This window comes from Homo sapiens, chromosome 17, assembly GCF_000001405.40.
Source record: "Homo sapiens chromosome 17, GRCh38.p14 Primary Assembly".
In the NCBI taxonomy this organism is placed as follows: Eukaryota; Metazoa; Chordata; class Mammalia; order Primates; family Hominidae; genus Homo; species Homo sapiens.
This window is the reverse complement of record NC_000017.11, coordinates 8,436,487-8,452,013: the sequence shown is the minus strand read 5'-3', so window position 1 is coordinate 8,452,013 and position 15,527 is coordinate 8,436,487. Positions and strand designations below refer to the sequence as shown.

The 15,527-nt window shown below is 40.3% G+C and overlaps 1 protein-coding gene across 9 annotated transcripts in view, besides 1 other annotated feature; it reads right to left on the bottom strand.

The window, feature by feature from the left end:
* NDEL1 (nudE neurodevelopment protein 1 like 1) overlaps positions 1-15,527 on the bottom strand; it is a 61,198-nt gene that overhangs the window by 22,315 nt on the left and 23,356 nt on the right. For 5 of the 9 annotated variants that reach the window (XM_017025183.2, XM_017025186.2, XM_017025184.2 and 2 more), the window contains exons 2-7: positions 7,838-8,087; positions 7,657-7,754; positions 6,150-6,303; positions 5,112-5,260; positions 3,328-3,464; positions 1,061-1,234 (exon numbers count right to left, since the gene is read on the bottom strand). In XM_017025183.2, coding sequence (XP_016880672.1) covers positions 1,061-1,234; positions 3,328-3,464; positions 5,112-5,260; positions 6,150-6,303; positions 7,657-7,754; positions 7,838-7,864 — 739 coding nt within the window. In that variant the 5' untranslated portion in view covers positions 7,865-8,087. The remainder of the gene's footprint in view (positions 1-1,060; positions 1,235-3,327; positions 3,465-5,111; positions 5,261-6,149; positions 6,304-7,656; positions 7,755-7,837; positions 8,088-15,527) is intronic. The other 4 variants (XM_047436861.1, NM_001025579.3, NM_030808.5 and 1 more) reach the window with 1 other exon arrangement.
* Positions 7,226-7,426: a silencer, noted in NCBI's record as "peak2716 fragment used in MPRA reporter construct". NCBI's record gives its function as "represses an SCP1 promoter by STARR-seq MPRAs in K562 erythroleukemia cells {active_cell/tissue: K562}" and the evidence as "EXISTENCE:reporter gene assay evidence [ECO:0000049][PMID:32103011]".

The following is a 15,527-nucleotide window of genomic DNA, read 5'->3' as shown; positions in this document are numbered from 1 at the left end:
TTACCTACTCAAGGGTTACTGAGCACTTGAAATGTGGTTAATGTGACAAAGAAACTGAATTTTATATTTTATTTCATTTTAATATAAATTTAAATAGCCACATGGGCTGGTGACTATTGAGTAGCACAGACAGAGAGAGCTCACTGTACTAGTTGCCCACATAGCATTCTAAAAGATAAAACCCTATATTTTAAAAAGGGTGGGATGACAGCTTCAATATAGGGTGGAAAAAAAAAGCAAGGGGGGATGAGAGTAGCAGAAATATGAACTACGAGCTGCAAAATCTAAACAAATCTCAATTGAGAGCTTTAAGATTCCATTTTAAGGTTCTATCTAGTGGCTACTAGGTGGTTTTTCTGCTTATCCGGATTTTAAAAAAACACACTGGTTCATGGCAATGTGAGTATTCTGTATGTGCCAATCATCAATTACTCCGAACAATGCTTTTGAAAATGGCAGCTCCTGAAGCATGTAACAGAATGGGCATGTCCATCCAAGCCGGTCTTACATGAGTCTGAAAGATAACTTAATGATTCTCTGTACATTCTATGTAGAAAGGCCTCAGGTCTCCCATGATATGGAAAGTGGCAAAAGGAAGAAATAAAACTGTGTTTAAATATGATCCCCAAATTTGCATGTGACAAAGAGATGTGCACAAACACACACAAGCACACAATAGAAAAAAAAACTCAAAATGTTAATGGTGGGTGCCTGTAAGTGGTAAGATAACATGATTTTTATTTTCTTTTTCTGTGTTTTTAAAATTTTCTACCTAAACATACGGCTGTAATCACAAAATCTATTGCTATCATCAAAAAATAAACTTTCCTTAAAAACCTTTAACTTTTAAAAATCTCATCTTAAATGTAACCATCATTTCACTGTTTCCTATATATTAGTGGCCTAGGAAAACAATTCCTTCTTCTATTTCACATAGCACTAGACTTCACCAACTTTTAAACTAAAATTACTCTTTAAACCTTAGCAACCGCCTTCAGCAACAAACCCCCGTAAGCTGATCATCTAACACATCGCCTCAAAAAGAAAAGACATTACAAACCTTTCGGTGAAGGAAAAGTGTTCTCCGTTCCTTTGCCAACAGGGGTAGCTGGCAAAGAAAGTGATGCTTGGACGGCGGAGTCCATCTTTTCACAGTCTAGAGTTGGAGAGCTAGGAGCCGACTTTCTAGTTACTTCCTGTTGTCTTTCCCGAACTGCTAGTTCTTGCCTTAAATCTGTAAAATATTGCAAACAAGGGCAGGAATACTCACTAGAGGGAGCAAATATATCAAGCAAAGTGACATCTAAAATGTCATAAAGGTCTTCTTCCTAAATTACTATTTCTCAAAAATGAATTTCCTATTTAAGTATAACTTTCATTTCTAGGGGAATAAAAATGGCAAAACTACTGTCTAAATGATCTTTTAGAATTTAAAAATGCTATAACCTGAGAGAAGTTACTTATGCTTATATGCAAAAAGAAACAGTGCAGAGTCCACAGTACAATTCACACAAAAGTAAATATTCTTCACCAACTTATTTGCTTTTATTTTCAAATGATGTAGTTTTGGGGTTATTGCAAAATCAACTAAGTGCATTTTTGTAATTTTAAATGGGCTGGCATTAACTATTATCACTATGAAATATTTACTTTTAGAAAAGAAGTATTCAGAACGGTTTAAATTTTTCTCATGCTTTCAAATATTGAGCGTTTTTTTTTTTTTTTGAGACGGAGTCTCACTCTGTCGCCCAGGCTAGAGTGCAGTGACGCAATCTCGGCTCACTGCAACCTCCACCTCCTGGGTTCAAGCGATTCTCCTGCCTCAGCCTCCCAAGTAGCTGGGATTACAGGTGCCCGCCACCACACCCAGCTAATTTTTTTTTTTGAATTTTTAGTAGAGATGGGGTTTCACCATGTTGGTCAGGCTGGTCTCGAACTCCTAACCTCAAATGATCCACCCGCCTCAGCCTCCCAAAGTGCTAGAATTACAGGCGTGAGCCGCCACACCCAGCCAATGTCGAGTTTTTAACCCAAAATTAATGTTATCTTTTCCAATTATGCAATTTAACTTACAGAATATTTGCTTGTGTTAAAAAAGGAACAAAGTCATCCCCCTTTTGGGTATGTATCCAAAAGAATTCAAAACAGGATCTCAAAGAGATATTTGGACACCCATGTTCACAGCGGTATCATTCGCAATAGCAAGAGATGGGAGCAACTCGATGTCCATCCACAGATGAACAGATAAAGAAAATGAATACATACAATGGAGTATCATTCAGCCTTAAAAAAGAAGGAAATTTTGTCACATACTACACATGGATAAACCTTGAGGACATTATGCTAAATGCAATAAACCAGTCACAAATACTGTATAATCTCCCTTATATGAGGTATCTAAAGTAGCTGAACTCATAGAAAATAGAACTGTGGTTGCCAGGGGCTGAAGGGAAGGGAAAATGGGTAGTCACTATTCAATAGGTATAGTTTCAGTTTTGCAAGATGAAAAAGTTCTAAAAATTTGTTTACACAACAATTTGACTATACTTAACACTACTGGACTGTACACTTTAAAATGATTAAGAAGCCAGGCACAGTGGCTCACACCCATAATCCCAACATTTTGGGAGACAGAACCAGAAGGACCATTTAAGGCCAAGGGTTCAAAACCAGCCTGGCCAACATACTGAGACTGTCTCCACAAAAAAAATGTTTTCTTAATTAGCTGGATGGGGCCAGGCGCGGTGGCTCACGTCTGTAATCCCAGCATTTTGGGAGGCCAAGGCGGCCGGATCACGAGGTCAGGAGTTCGAGATCAGCCTGGCCAATATGGTGAAATCCCGTCTCTACTAAAAATACAAAAATCAGCTGGGTGTGGTGGCGGGCGCCTGTAATCCCAGCTACTCGAGAGGCTGAGGCAGGAGAATTGTTTGAACCCAGGAGGCGGAATTTGCAGTGAGCTGAGATTGTGCCATTGCACTCCAGCCTGGGTGAAAGTACGAGACTTCGTCTCCAAAAAAAGTTGACTCTAAGCTTCTTCTGGCATAGGGACAGTAAGGTAAGGGAGGATAAATACAGTTGTCCCTCAGTATACATGGGGATTGGTTCCAGGACCCCCACCTACACCAAAATTGGCGCATACTGAAGTCCCACAGTCAGCCCGTATATATGAAAAGTCAGCCCTCCATATACAGGGTTTTGAATGCCGTGAATACTGTATTTTCAATCCACATTTGGTTGAAAAAAAATCAGAGTATAAGTGGGCCCACACAATTCAAACCCATGTTGTTCAAGGGTCAACTGTATTCTTTAAGTTATAAATTTTACCTCTTGCTTCATCCTTTAACCTCTGTACAGAGACCAACAAAGATTCCTTTTCATCAAGTTCACTTTCTAAAAATGCATTTCGTTCAATGGCCTGGTTTAGCCTTTGTTCAAAGTCTTCCAGTGAAACTATTGTTGCCCTAAAAAGAAAAATTAGAGTACATGAATTAAATAAATAACATGTGCAAACAGATAGTACAAAAGGAAACTGTCAGTTTATCTCGTGACATTTCCTGACCTAGCCAGCCTGGCCCCAATCAAAGAAGATGATCTTGCCCCTTCCTGACCACTGCTGGCACGTAGTGTCTCTATCAGTTGGGCAATATATACAATACATTCTTTTAAATTCCCATCTATTCCTTAATGTTCCCTACAGAAAGGCTATTTGTTACACTATTTATATCTCCACTGTGTTTTGAACACAATACAATCAAGTTTACACATTTTCAGAAAGAAAACTTTTCAAAACTTGTAATATATGTAAGAGTTTGTTTAAAACATTAAGTCCCAAGTCAGGGAACCTAAGGCCAATTCACACTGACTTCCTAGAACTAAATCAAAAGGAAAACCGGAACTTTCCACACCTAAGTAAGAAAAGGACCAGAAGCTATTCCCTTTGCTTTCTGCAACCACTCAGACATTTGCATAGGGTGTCACTTTGTAACTTCACTTCAGCCTCTGATTGGTTCCCCCACTGCCCCCCCCCCGCCCACCTCCCCGCAACCAATCTGGCTGCTGCCTCCTCTATGCCCTGGAGCAGCAGCTTGCCCACTTTTTTTTACTAGGGTATTAACATAGTGAATGTACATATCTGTCACCCCCAAGGGTAGTGACCAGACTAGCTCCGCATCTGTAAGTTTAGCATCATGTCAGTCACTTAAGACTCACTGGATAAATATTAAGGAAGGAAATACCAGGAAACAATTATAAAGTAATAGGAATTAAGTTTGGAATGGTTAAGAAACAACTAATTACACATGCATAAAAGTTTGGCAACAGTGATAGCAAGCCACTGCACGTTGTTCAGAAATTTGAACTGAAATCAACATTTTAAGAAAATTCATCAGTCAGTATTAAAAGAGAATAAAAAGGAACAGAAATATAAAGATATATCAGCTAGAGGATAACTACAGAATCCAGGTATAAGATATGAGGACCTACAGGAAGTATGGAAGTGTTAAGAGCACAGAGGGAAGATGGGGGAATGCATGAGACAGTTTAAAAAATAAATAAATACACAAAACCTAGGCTGGGTGCAGTGGCTCATGCCTATAATCCCAGCACTTTGGGAGGCCAAGGTGGGCAGATCACTTGATGGCAGGAATTCAAGACCAGCCTGGCCAACATGGCAAAACCCCGTCTCTACTAAAAATACAAAAATTAGCTGGGTGTGGTGGCACATGCCTATAATCCCAGCTACTTGGAAGGCTGAGGCACAAGAATCGCTTGAATCTGGGAGGCAGAGGTTGCAGTGAGCCGAGATCATGCCACTGCACTCCAGACTGGGCGACAATGTGAGACCCTGTCTCAAAAAACAAAACAAAACCAATAGGATCAACCACAGTATATGAAAGAAGGAAAAAAGAAAAATTGAAAGAGAAAGCTTTGAAGGGCGTTATCTGGGAGATGAGGATTTGGGGTTCCCTTCCGTCCGATGAGTTACAGGTGACATGAAACACCAACAGGAAATGTTCTGGGACTAAGATCTAGGGGAAGAGCCTAATAAAGATTTTAATCACTAATTACCAAGGTGGTTTTTTTCTAACAAAATGCAGTCATTCGTTTACCTTTTGGCTCGCTCCAGGTCGTCGTTGGCCTGCTCCAGCTCTCTCACATACTTATGCAACTGCTCCTTAATGGCCCGAGTCTGACTTAAATCATCTTCTAACACTGAGACCTGCTTATAGCTCTGTGCATATTGATGCTCTAGCTTCTCCTGAGGGCATCAGTATAGGAAAGTACATGTCATTAATATACAGTTCTCTTTACTAAAGAGGTAACTCAAGTTAAAAGGGTGGGGGGGAACCCAAGGAATTTACCCACACTCTTGTAACAATTACTTTAAAAACAACTAAATGACACATTCATTCTAAGTGCCTAAACTCATGTTAAATTTTGTCAACCATTCTCCTCTCAGAAAGAAACCCAATAACAATCTCTCTGAAAAGAACTAATATAAAAAATCCTTGCCTCAAAATCCGCAAACTTGTTAAGGAAACCTCTGGATTTTCAGGCTAAATGCGGCCCAGGGTAAGCACAGAGTTCACATTCCCTACCTTTCACCTGCCCATCCAACCTTCCCAGAACCCACCCACTCCCCAGACACTAAATACCCTCAAGCATGTGGCTACAGTAGATGGTAAAGGGCAGAGAAAGGGGTGAATCCTTTTGCTCCTGAAAATTCCTTTTTAGAAGGGAAATTTTTAACCCTAACTAAACTCCAAAACTGAAAGGGCTATGAACAATAATGAAATAAATGCATATTCCCTATCAATATAATTGTAAACATACTGCAGAATGAGGCAACCTATCTGTCAAAACAAATAATCAGGCAGCTTTTGAAAATTATAGGAACTATAATATAATATAGCTAGGAACATTATAGCTAGAAAAGTGACAACTACAAAGTTTCTAAGTGAACTCCTAAACTCTAAACCACCTTTTCCCCTGGTTCCGTGAAAGAAAACATTTTATTCAAAAATTCACTTTAAGCGTTTTTTTCAAACTATTTTTTGTCGCCAGCTGCTCTTAAGCACCTGAAAAACATATTTCTCATTTTAATAAAACTCAACACATTAGACCCCAGCGTCTACTGCTGCAATTACCTTTAATGCCTCCACTTCATATTTCAGTCTTTGGTTATCAGCCTGCAAGTCTCTATTTCTTTGTTCAGCCTGTACTAATTGTGCCTCCAACTCTGCTTCTAATTCTCTGCTTCCTTCCTGGAATTCAACTAGCTCATCCCGAGCTTCCTGGAAGCTAATCAGAAACAAAGTGGGAAAGACGAGTTACACTAAGAACCACAAGGATTGTCTTGGAGGTGATTATAGAGCAATTCGATAATTTTTGCTTGAATGCTAATGCTCTCATAAAATATACTAAAGACAATCTGTTTTGCATCTCTTACTGTATATATTCAGGGTTCAATGAAAACGACAAGCCCAAAAAGGAGCCACAAGTCAGTGATTACAATATTTATGAAAAGTAAGGCTACGTGGCTCAATACCATTAGCTTCTTCCACCACAGAACTCAGATGCGAGAAAAATGCATTTTTACTTTCATTAAAGTAACAAATTTGGCATTTCCTTCTACCATATTCAACAGAAATCACACATATTTTCACATCACAATAGAATCGTTGCATGTATCTCTAAATATATTTATTTTCATGACTATTTCAAAATTAGGTAGTTATTACATTCACTTCTGTATCTTTTTTTATTTAATGCATTAATAGAGAAGTACATGTTACTATGCCATAAATTAGTTTAATATTTAGATAACTTTTTTCAATATAATTGATTTTCTTTGTAATTCTATTATTCTATGCATTTAAAAATATTATGCTGAGGAGTCCACAGGCTACCCCAGCCCATTAAGACATCTATGACACAGAAAAAGATTAAGAACCCTGCCATAGATACACACCTTTCATATCCACTGGCACAATAGAATAACTGACTTCGGTGATAATAATGAAAGGGCAGTAAAAGGTTTGATAAGACTTAGTAAACTCTGTTAACCAAAATAGGAAAATGTATCAATATTTTATTTAGCAAGATCCCATTTTTAAAAAAGAAATTTGAGACAAGTTTTGTTGCTTAAAAGGTTGTTGCCTGAAAGTTCTCCCAACCAAATAACTGAAATTTTATAAAACGTTCCATGCCCCTGAAGCTTCTCCCCCTCCCTCAAAGCTTTGCTGGCTCCAGACACTGATCATGCTTGCCTGAGGAGAACGTAAAGTCTGTTCTATGGAGCCCCAGACAGCTTATCAGAATCTCCAAATGACCAAAATGATGAGGCAGAATCAGTGCATGCAAAACGGGCCAAAGATGGCCCCGCCTACTAAAAAGCATAGAACAGGTAACAATCAGAAGAAATCATAAATGACAGTTTTCCTACTATTTTAATAATTTGAACAATATAAAGACTTATGGCATGTTTACACTATTTAAATACAACCCATGTGGTGACTGTTTGTAGAATCTCAATCCTAGAATCCTAAATCTGCAATTCTAAATTTAGCTTTATGTTAAAAAGAAAAATGCACAAACAAGACACGGTGTATTCCAAATGCCCTCCCCTACTTTTAGTGTGCTTTCCAACATTACCTTTGCTTATACTTCAAGGAAAGTTCCTTCCAATAAGCAGTTTCCTCCTTTAAACTTGAAAAATCTGGTATATCTTCACCATCCATGATCAAGAAAGCCTGTGAAATATTAAAGACAAACTTAACAAATTAGAGAACAGAGAAATCTAAGCACAAGCATAAAATCTGGGACAACACTGAACTGCAGCATTTTGGAGGGAATAAAACATGAGAGATTCCAGTGGTTAACTCTCTTCAAACTCAGGCACGTCAATCACTCCACTGCTCCACTCTCAGGGACCACCAATATTGTGAATGAGATCATGACAAAGGTCCTTTGATACAAAGCGACAGGAGGCACTTTTGGTTGCAGCATAGGCGCTGGGTGACTTGGGCCCACAGAATCATCCTGCACACAGAGTTGCAGCAGTTGGTTTAAGGCCACGTGGTCTTCTGCGAATCGGGAGACAGAAACAAGCTTATTGTCAGAGATGCTGCTACCGCATGCATGCTGCCCTTCCCAGGTATACAACTGCTTCAAAACATCTGCTTGGAACATTTTATGCCAGGTGACCCTACTAGAAAATCAGGCACCACATTCCCAATAATTTACTATTATCAAATCTCTAAAAACCTCCTGTTAATCATCTTTTAAGTCCAAAGCTTCCTTCCAAAAGCCCACTAATCTCCAACTTCAATGATCTCTCTCTCTCATCCTGGTTCTTCTCTCCCAAGGCATTCAGAGAGGAGAAAAAAAGCGATTTAATTAACTAACATTTGGACTGGCTACCTACAACTCCCAACTGATCGTCAGGCCCACTCTAGAGGCATGCCTACTGCTTCCTAGCACCCCCTCCCCAGGCATCCCACTCTATATTCTGGCAGTACTGTTCGAAACTGTCTTAACACACCAGGCTCTTTCAGGCATGGAAAACTACTCCAGGTTTTCTCTACCTGGAGTGGCTCCCCTAAATAGGAAAACTACTATTTATCCTTAAAACCTAATTGTCATCTTTTCCAGAGAGGTTTTCTTGCCCTCAACTGGACAGCATTAAAATCTCTTGCATTCTTTGCTACCTCTGTACCCCACACATGCTTTCACTGATATTATTACCACAGGGCAATGCATTTGCTTACACCTTTGTGTTGCCTGTTAGGCTGGCTTACTTATTTCCGTCTCAGCCCAATGCCTGCACAATAGTGGATACTCAATGATATTTACTGAATTAAACCATAATTGATTCAACCTATTCCATACTAGGCAGCAAGAACTCAAGACCAGCTTTAAAAGTAAATTAATAGGCTAGGTGTGGTGGCTCATGCCTGTAATCCCAGCACTTTGGGAGGCCGAGGCGGGCGGATCACGAGGTCAGGAGATTGAGACCATCCTGGCTAACACGGTGAAACCCCATCTCTGCTAAAAATACAAAAAATTAGCCGGGCGTGGTGGCAGGCGCCTGTAGTCCCACCTACTCGGGAGGAGAATGGTGTGAACCCGGGAGGCGGAGCTTGCAGTGAGCCAAGATTGCGCCACTGCACTCCAGCCTGGGGGACAGAGCGAGACTCCGTCTAAAAATCTAAAAAAAAAAAAAAAAAAAAAAAGTAAATAAATAAAAACCTGGAGATGCATAGAACTTGGAGTTTATCTAGCACAAGCCACTCAGGAAGGTTTAGCAAAAAAAAAAAAAAATCTTTTTAAAGGAATGAACGGTTAAATCTCTCCACATCATCAAACATAGAACACAGTGGAAGTTCAATAAATATTTGAATTGAGGCTGGACACGGTGGCTCATGCCTGTAATCCCAACACATGGGGAGGCTGAGGCAGGAGGACTGCTTGAGCCCAGAAGCAATGAGGCTGCAGTAAGCCATGATTTTGAGGCTGCAGTGAGCCATGATTGTGCCACTGCACTCCAGCCTGGGCAACACAGCAAGACCCTGTCTCTAAAATAAATAAATAAATATGTGAACTGATTTATAATCATCCTTTCAATATTCCCTCTTGACTTTCAAAGTACCACTTTATTAACATCTGAATTCCTACTTCAGGAATGGAGTAAGCAAAAAGATGTGCGGGTAGTTTACTTCCACCTTACAATGTACCACCATATATTAAATCAATATTAGAAAACCTATCATTATCAGTTAGACAAAATTATTAATCCGATACATGGGCAGCCACATTCAGTCACTGACATAGGCTCAGTACAGGCTCCACATCAAAGAATAGGGAGTTGATGGGATTTATTGGGAAGAACCTTAGAGATAACCACTGCACACTAGCTACCTCAAATCATCATTATCCGGCCCTGAAATATAAATGGACAACCAAGAGCCATCTGACAAGTAAGAAAACCCAGTAGCATGAATAAGAAAATTTTAGGACCTAGTGAACTGAGAGGAAACAGACAATTCAGGAAATGAGATTTTTTCTTATACAAGAACTCAGAAGGTACTAGACAAAGACTTAAAAAAAAAGGTCAGGAGGGCTACCTCCTACACACTTCCTGAGACAAGTACAAAAGAAGGGAGAAAACCATGACCTGGACAGCATGGGATGCAGGAAATAGGGGCTCCAACCTAGGGCTGCAATGAAAAGTCCCAGGATGAAGCCTAGTCCATCAGGCCCATAGAATGCTTCAGACGGATGACACCAAGAAAAATAAGGAATCCCATAGAACAGATAGCATAGAGCACAAGTGAGAAGCTAGATATATTTGAGGTTGTGGTGAAGACATGTTACTCTACTGTCACTAAGAAAAAGAGAAATTTAAAAGCTCAGGAAAATAAAAAAAGCAATAGAAGAAAGTCCTGATCCTTATATAAAGCATTTTGTAAGTTAATGATTTCAAGTCTAAAACTTGTAATGTATTGATTTTATCTTATTTGAAGCAACTGGGATAAGTTCCATAACTTTATAGCCATCGATGAACTTCCTGTTTTTGGTCTTAGCTTTGCCCTGAGTCCCATGTGCTGCTCTCTTGGAAGGTTCCAGGATTTGGCGAACAAAATTGTATTCTCCTTTTTTATGTCCCCTCTGGTTTTGTAGCCTTTGATGATAATACCTCTCAGCCTTGGTCTTCCCAAAGTGATTATTTCTTGCCTTTTTAGCCTATAATGATTTGGCAGCCATCTCAGTCCCTTAAATATTTTGTTATGCTTTGTATTGCCCCTAGATTACCTATCTGCCTTTCTGGGGCTGAGTGCCTAGTGCTGCTTCTGTACTGAACATTTTATTCACTGGTCAGATCATTTTTCTTTTGAGTTTTCAGTACTCTTTCTGTTACTGTGCAGCATTTGATGATATTGCTAGTAGTGTGGCCCATGAACCGGTATCATTATGGAAGTTCCTAATGACTGTTAGATACCTTCCTTGGCATCTAACATTTATTTGAAGGTGTTTGAATGTGGGGCCAATTCTTCTACGAAAAGAGTTAGGATTGTTTTGAATCTCTAAATGTTATTCAGGAGTCCACTTCAAAACATTTCCATGTGGGGGTATTTTTTGTTGGTTTTGACCCATTTATATAGTATCAGAGGACATACTAGCAGTTAATGCTTTGAAGAGCACCTAGTTAAGTAGTAATCCCTGAGGAATAGCATTGTTTACCCCTCTGGATGTATTGCGAGTATCCATTTGTCTCTGACTTCTGGTTCTTGTACAGGGACATATTCTTAATACAACACCAACTTTTCCATGAGTGTCCCCTGATAACTCAGGTTTTTAAATAGCCTTTTGCATGAAACTTTTTGAGAATCTAGTTCTAGCCCTTGCATCCTCTTTGTCCAACTACTTACATTCAGTGTCAAGTAATTCTAGCAAAATTATTTTACTTCACACACATTCTTTTTTTTTTTTTTTTTTTGAGATGGAGTCTCACTCTGTTGCCCAGGCTGGAGTGCAGTGGCACAATCCTAGTTCACTGCAACCTCTGACTCCCAGGTTCAAGCAATTCTCTTGCCTCGGCCTCCTAAGTAGCTGGGATTACAAGCACCCACCACCATACCTGGCTAATTTTTGTATTTTTAGTAGGACACGGTTTCACCATGTTGGCCAGGCTGTCTCGAACTCCTGACCTCGTGATCTGCCCTCCTCGGCCTCCCAAAGTGCTGGGATTACAGGCATGAGCCACCGCGCCTGGTCACATTCTTTATTTTCTTGCTGAATCTCATGTGAATTGAATGTTGACCACAACTTTTCTAATCAATAGGCTATTTTCATAACCCGCTTATTGGCCCCTCTAACAGTATTATAACCTATGTTGGATATCATTTACTAAAAGGACCATCATCTCTTCCAGATCAAAACAATTTAAAACATTTAACCAAGAATAAGTCATAGGAGCAGCATAGCATAGTGGTTAAGAGCCCAGACCGGGAAGCCAAACTGCCCAAGTCTGAAGTCAGACCTGGAAGTTCAGACTCGCTACTGATGCATCTACTCACTACTTGGGTGACCTTGGGCAAGTGACTTAATGACTCAGTGCCCCATTTCCTCACCTGTAAAATGGGGATAATCATTAGAATGAGCTTATGAAGTGAGCTAATATTTGTAAAGTACTTAGGACAGAACCTGGCACATAGTAAAAACCTAAATGTTCATCAAGCTATTAAAAATTGGTAGTTCGATAGCAGACCTTTCAAGTATGACCACAAAGTAAACAGGCTTCAAAATTTAAAACATGCAAATGATTCTTTAAAACTGATCATTTCAGGAATATATGCATATTCCAGTGATATCACCATTGCTGAAAAACATTTCCAAAACTTCTTTTTTGGAATAGCCTTTATGAGCCACATTAAGAACAAAGCAGGCGAACAAAGCAGGCCAGGCGCGGTGGCTCATGCCTATAATCCTAGCACTTTGGGAGGCTGAGGCAGGCGGATCACTTGAGGTTAGGAGTTCAAGACCAGCCTGGCCAACATGGTGAAACCTCGTCTATACCGAAAATATGAAAAAAAAAAAAAAAAATTAGCTGGGTATGGTGGCCGGCACCTGTAATCCCAGCTACTCAGGAGGCTGAGGCAGGAGAATCGCTCAAACCCGGGAGGAGGAGGTTGCAGTGAGCCGAGATTGGCCACTGCACTCCAGCCTGGGCAAAAGGGTGAGATTCCATCTCAAATAAAAGAAAAAAAAAAAGGCCGGGCACAGTGGCTCACACCTGTAATCCCAGCACTTTGGGAGGCCGAGGCGGGCGGATCACGAGGTCAGGAGATTGAGACTATCCTGCTAACATGGTGAAACCCCGTCTCTACTAAAAACACAAAAAACTAGCTGGGCGTGGTGGTGGGCACCTGCAGTCCCAGCTACTCGGGAGGCTGAGGCAGGAGAATGGCGTGAACCCGGGAGGCAGAACTTGCAGTGAGCCGAGAGCGCGCGACCGCACTCCACTCCAGCCTGGGTGACAGAGAGAGACTCCGTTTCAAAAAAAAAAAAAAAGAACAAAGCAAAAACTTCTTACTTTGTGGTCACACCTCATCTTTATTGCTTCCTAACTGGTATTATCCAGCTCTATTGCCCTACTTTTACCCATCAGATTTACTCTTTTTAAAAATCAGATTCTGGCCAGGCACAGTGGCTCGCGCATATTAATCCCAGCACTTGGAAGGCTGAGGTGGGAATGTCAGTTGAGCCTGGAACTTCAAGGCCAGCCTGGACAACATGCTGAAACCCCATCTCTAACAAAAATACAAAAATGAGCTGGGTGTGGTGGCATGCACCTGTGGTCCCAGCTACTCGTGAGACTGTGGTGGGAGGATCGCTTGAGTCCAGGAAGTTGAGGCTGCAGTAAGCTGTAATCACTCCACTGCACTCCAGCCTGGGTGACAAAATGAGACCCTGCCTCCAAAAAAATAAAAATAAAAATCAGATTATTTACAAATAATAAAATTTGCTACCACTGCAGATACTCAAACGACAGTTTCAGGGGCTGTTATACAGTCTGTTCAGTTTGCTTCAAGTTACACTGGGAGGATGTGTTCACTTATTTCAAACTATGTAACTGGAGATATTCAGGCTATAGAAAGTTAGCTAATATAGAAAACATACTGCTAAAACAATGCTCTAATGGTACATCCACAATTTTCTGAAGCTAGAATGAAGATAGATAATTATGTATTATTGGCAGGGCACGGTGGCTCACGCCTGTAATCCCAGCACTTTGTGAGGCTGAGGCAGGCGGATCACGAGGTGAGGAGTTCGAGACCAGCCTGACCAACATGGTGAAACCCTGTCTCTACTAAATATACAAAAATTAGCAGGGCATCGTGGTGCGCACCTGTAATCCCAGCTACTCAGGAGGCTGAGGCAGGAGAATCGCTTGAATCCAGGAGGTGGAGGTTGCAGTGAGCCGAGATTGTGCCACTGCACTCCAGCCTGGGCAACAGAGGGAGACTCCATCAAAGAAAAAAAAAATTATTATTCTCTGCCCGCCCCCACCCCATCTTTCTTTAATACCAGATCTCAATACGGACACAGTCTCAAAAGCATGACAATTTTTACGTAAAGCATTATCATACTGTGTATGACCTTCAGAAATCTAGCAACAATCAACTCATTTGAGTTTAAAACAGCCTGTCCAAAATGCCTTTTATTTACAAGGAAATTATTCTTTGTACAATGGTAAGAAAATCTATTTTCAATGATATTGTTTCTGGTTAACAGTTCTAAAATGGACTGACGTTAGAAGAGTTCTTTCAGAACTCACTGTTGGCAATATATGCCTTTTTACTGAAATTCTACTACTCTCAAAGGTGACATTTACAGAATTTTTAACTCTTCAAAGTTGATCATAAACACGGTCTCTCTTTGATTCTATCAGACTTCTTTTTTACTTTATGGAGTGCTCAGAAACTTACGTCAGAAGTAATTTTAAGCTTTAGTAACCAAATTTATCCCAGCATGGTTTAAAATGAAAACAAAAATAAGTTGTTTTGCAGATGTCATGAAAGCAAGATCTAAGTTTTACTAAGGTTCCTACTTATTTTAAGCTCTTTATCCAACTTCAATTTATTTAATTTAAAAAAATCAAAAGAACTACAGCTTCAGAAGATTTAGCAACTTCTATCTGGATCAAGTCAACCTCTAACCAGGGCTGGCCAAAGGTTTTGTTTCTCACGCACTCTAATTTTAAATAACAATAATTTTAATAATAATTCAGAAGAAATACTTCACTTGGTTTCCCTTTACTTCTCTTCAGCCCATGACTTAACGCTGCACTGTGCCCATCAACTTCACGATTTAGCAAAGCAATTAACCAGCAACTCCTGAACAAGCTTCACAGGAAGATTTTTCTCATGACTGAGCAGCCGTTTTTATCCTAGGTGAGTTTTCTCAAAAATAATTGAGTAAGTAATCTACCAGCTTCTGGCATATCTTTGGCAAGTCACATTTTCTGCCTTGTTTTGTAGCTGAGAAGGGTATAAAAATCCCACGAAAAGAAACCAGAACTCCGAGCCTAGAAATGTAAATTATGATCCAAGCTAAACCACTCACCAGTTGGTTGAACCTAAGTATAAATAATTACCCCCATCCCAGCTCCATTTACCCATCGAAATGGCGATAACATAATCAGTTGCAACCACAAGGTGATGCGGTTAGAAAAAGATAGGAAGAAGAGTGCTCTGAAACGTGTAAAGGTGCTACGTAAATAGAAGGTAATAATCAGTGGTGACAGAACTCTCACCTCCTTTGCAAAACTTAAAGGGTCATCTCATGGCTTACAGCAAGAAAAGAGTCGAGCACAAGTAACCCGAGCCCGTTGGTGACACTTTGCCGAACTCCAGGGGGAGGATGATTAGCAGTTCCGGGCGGGAGTCAGGAGAATGCCAATCCGAGCCCAACGTGGGCTGCTCGCGCTCTCGCCCCCCATGGGAGAGAGGCACTGAGAGATC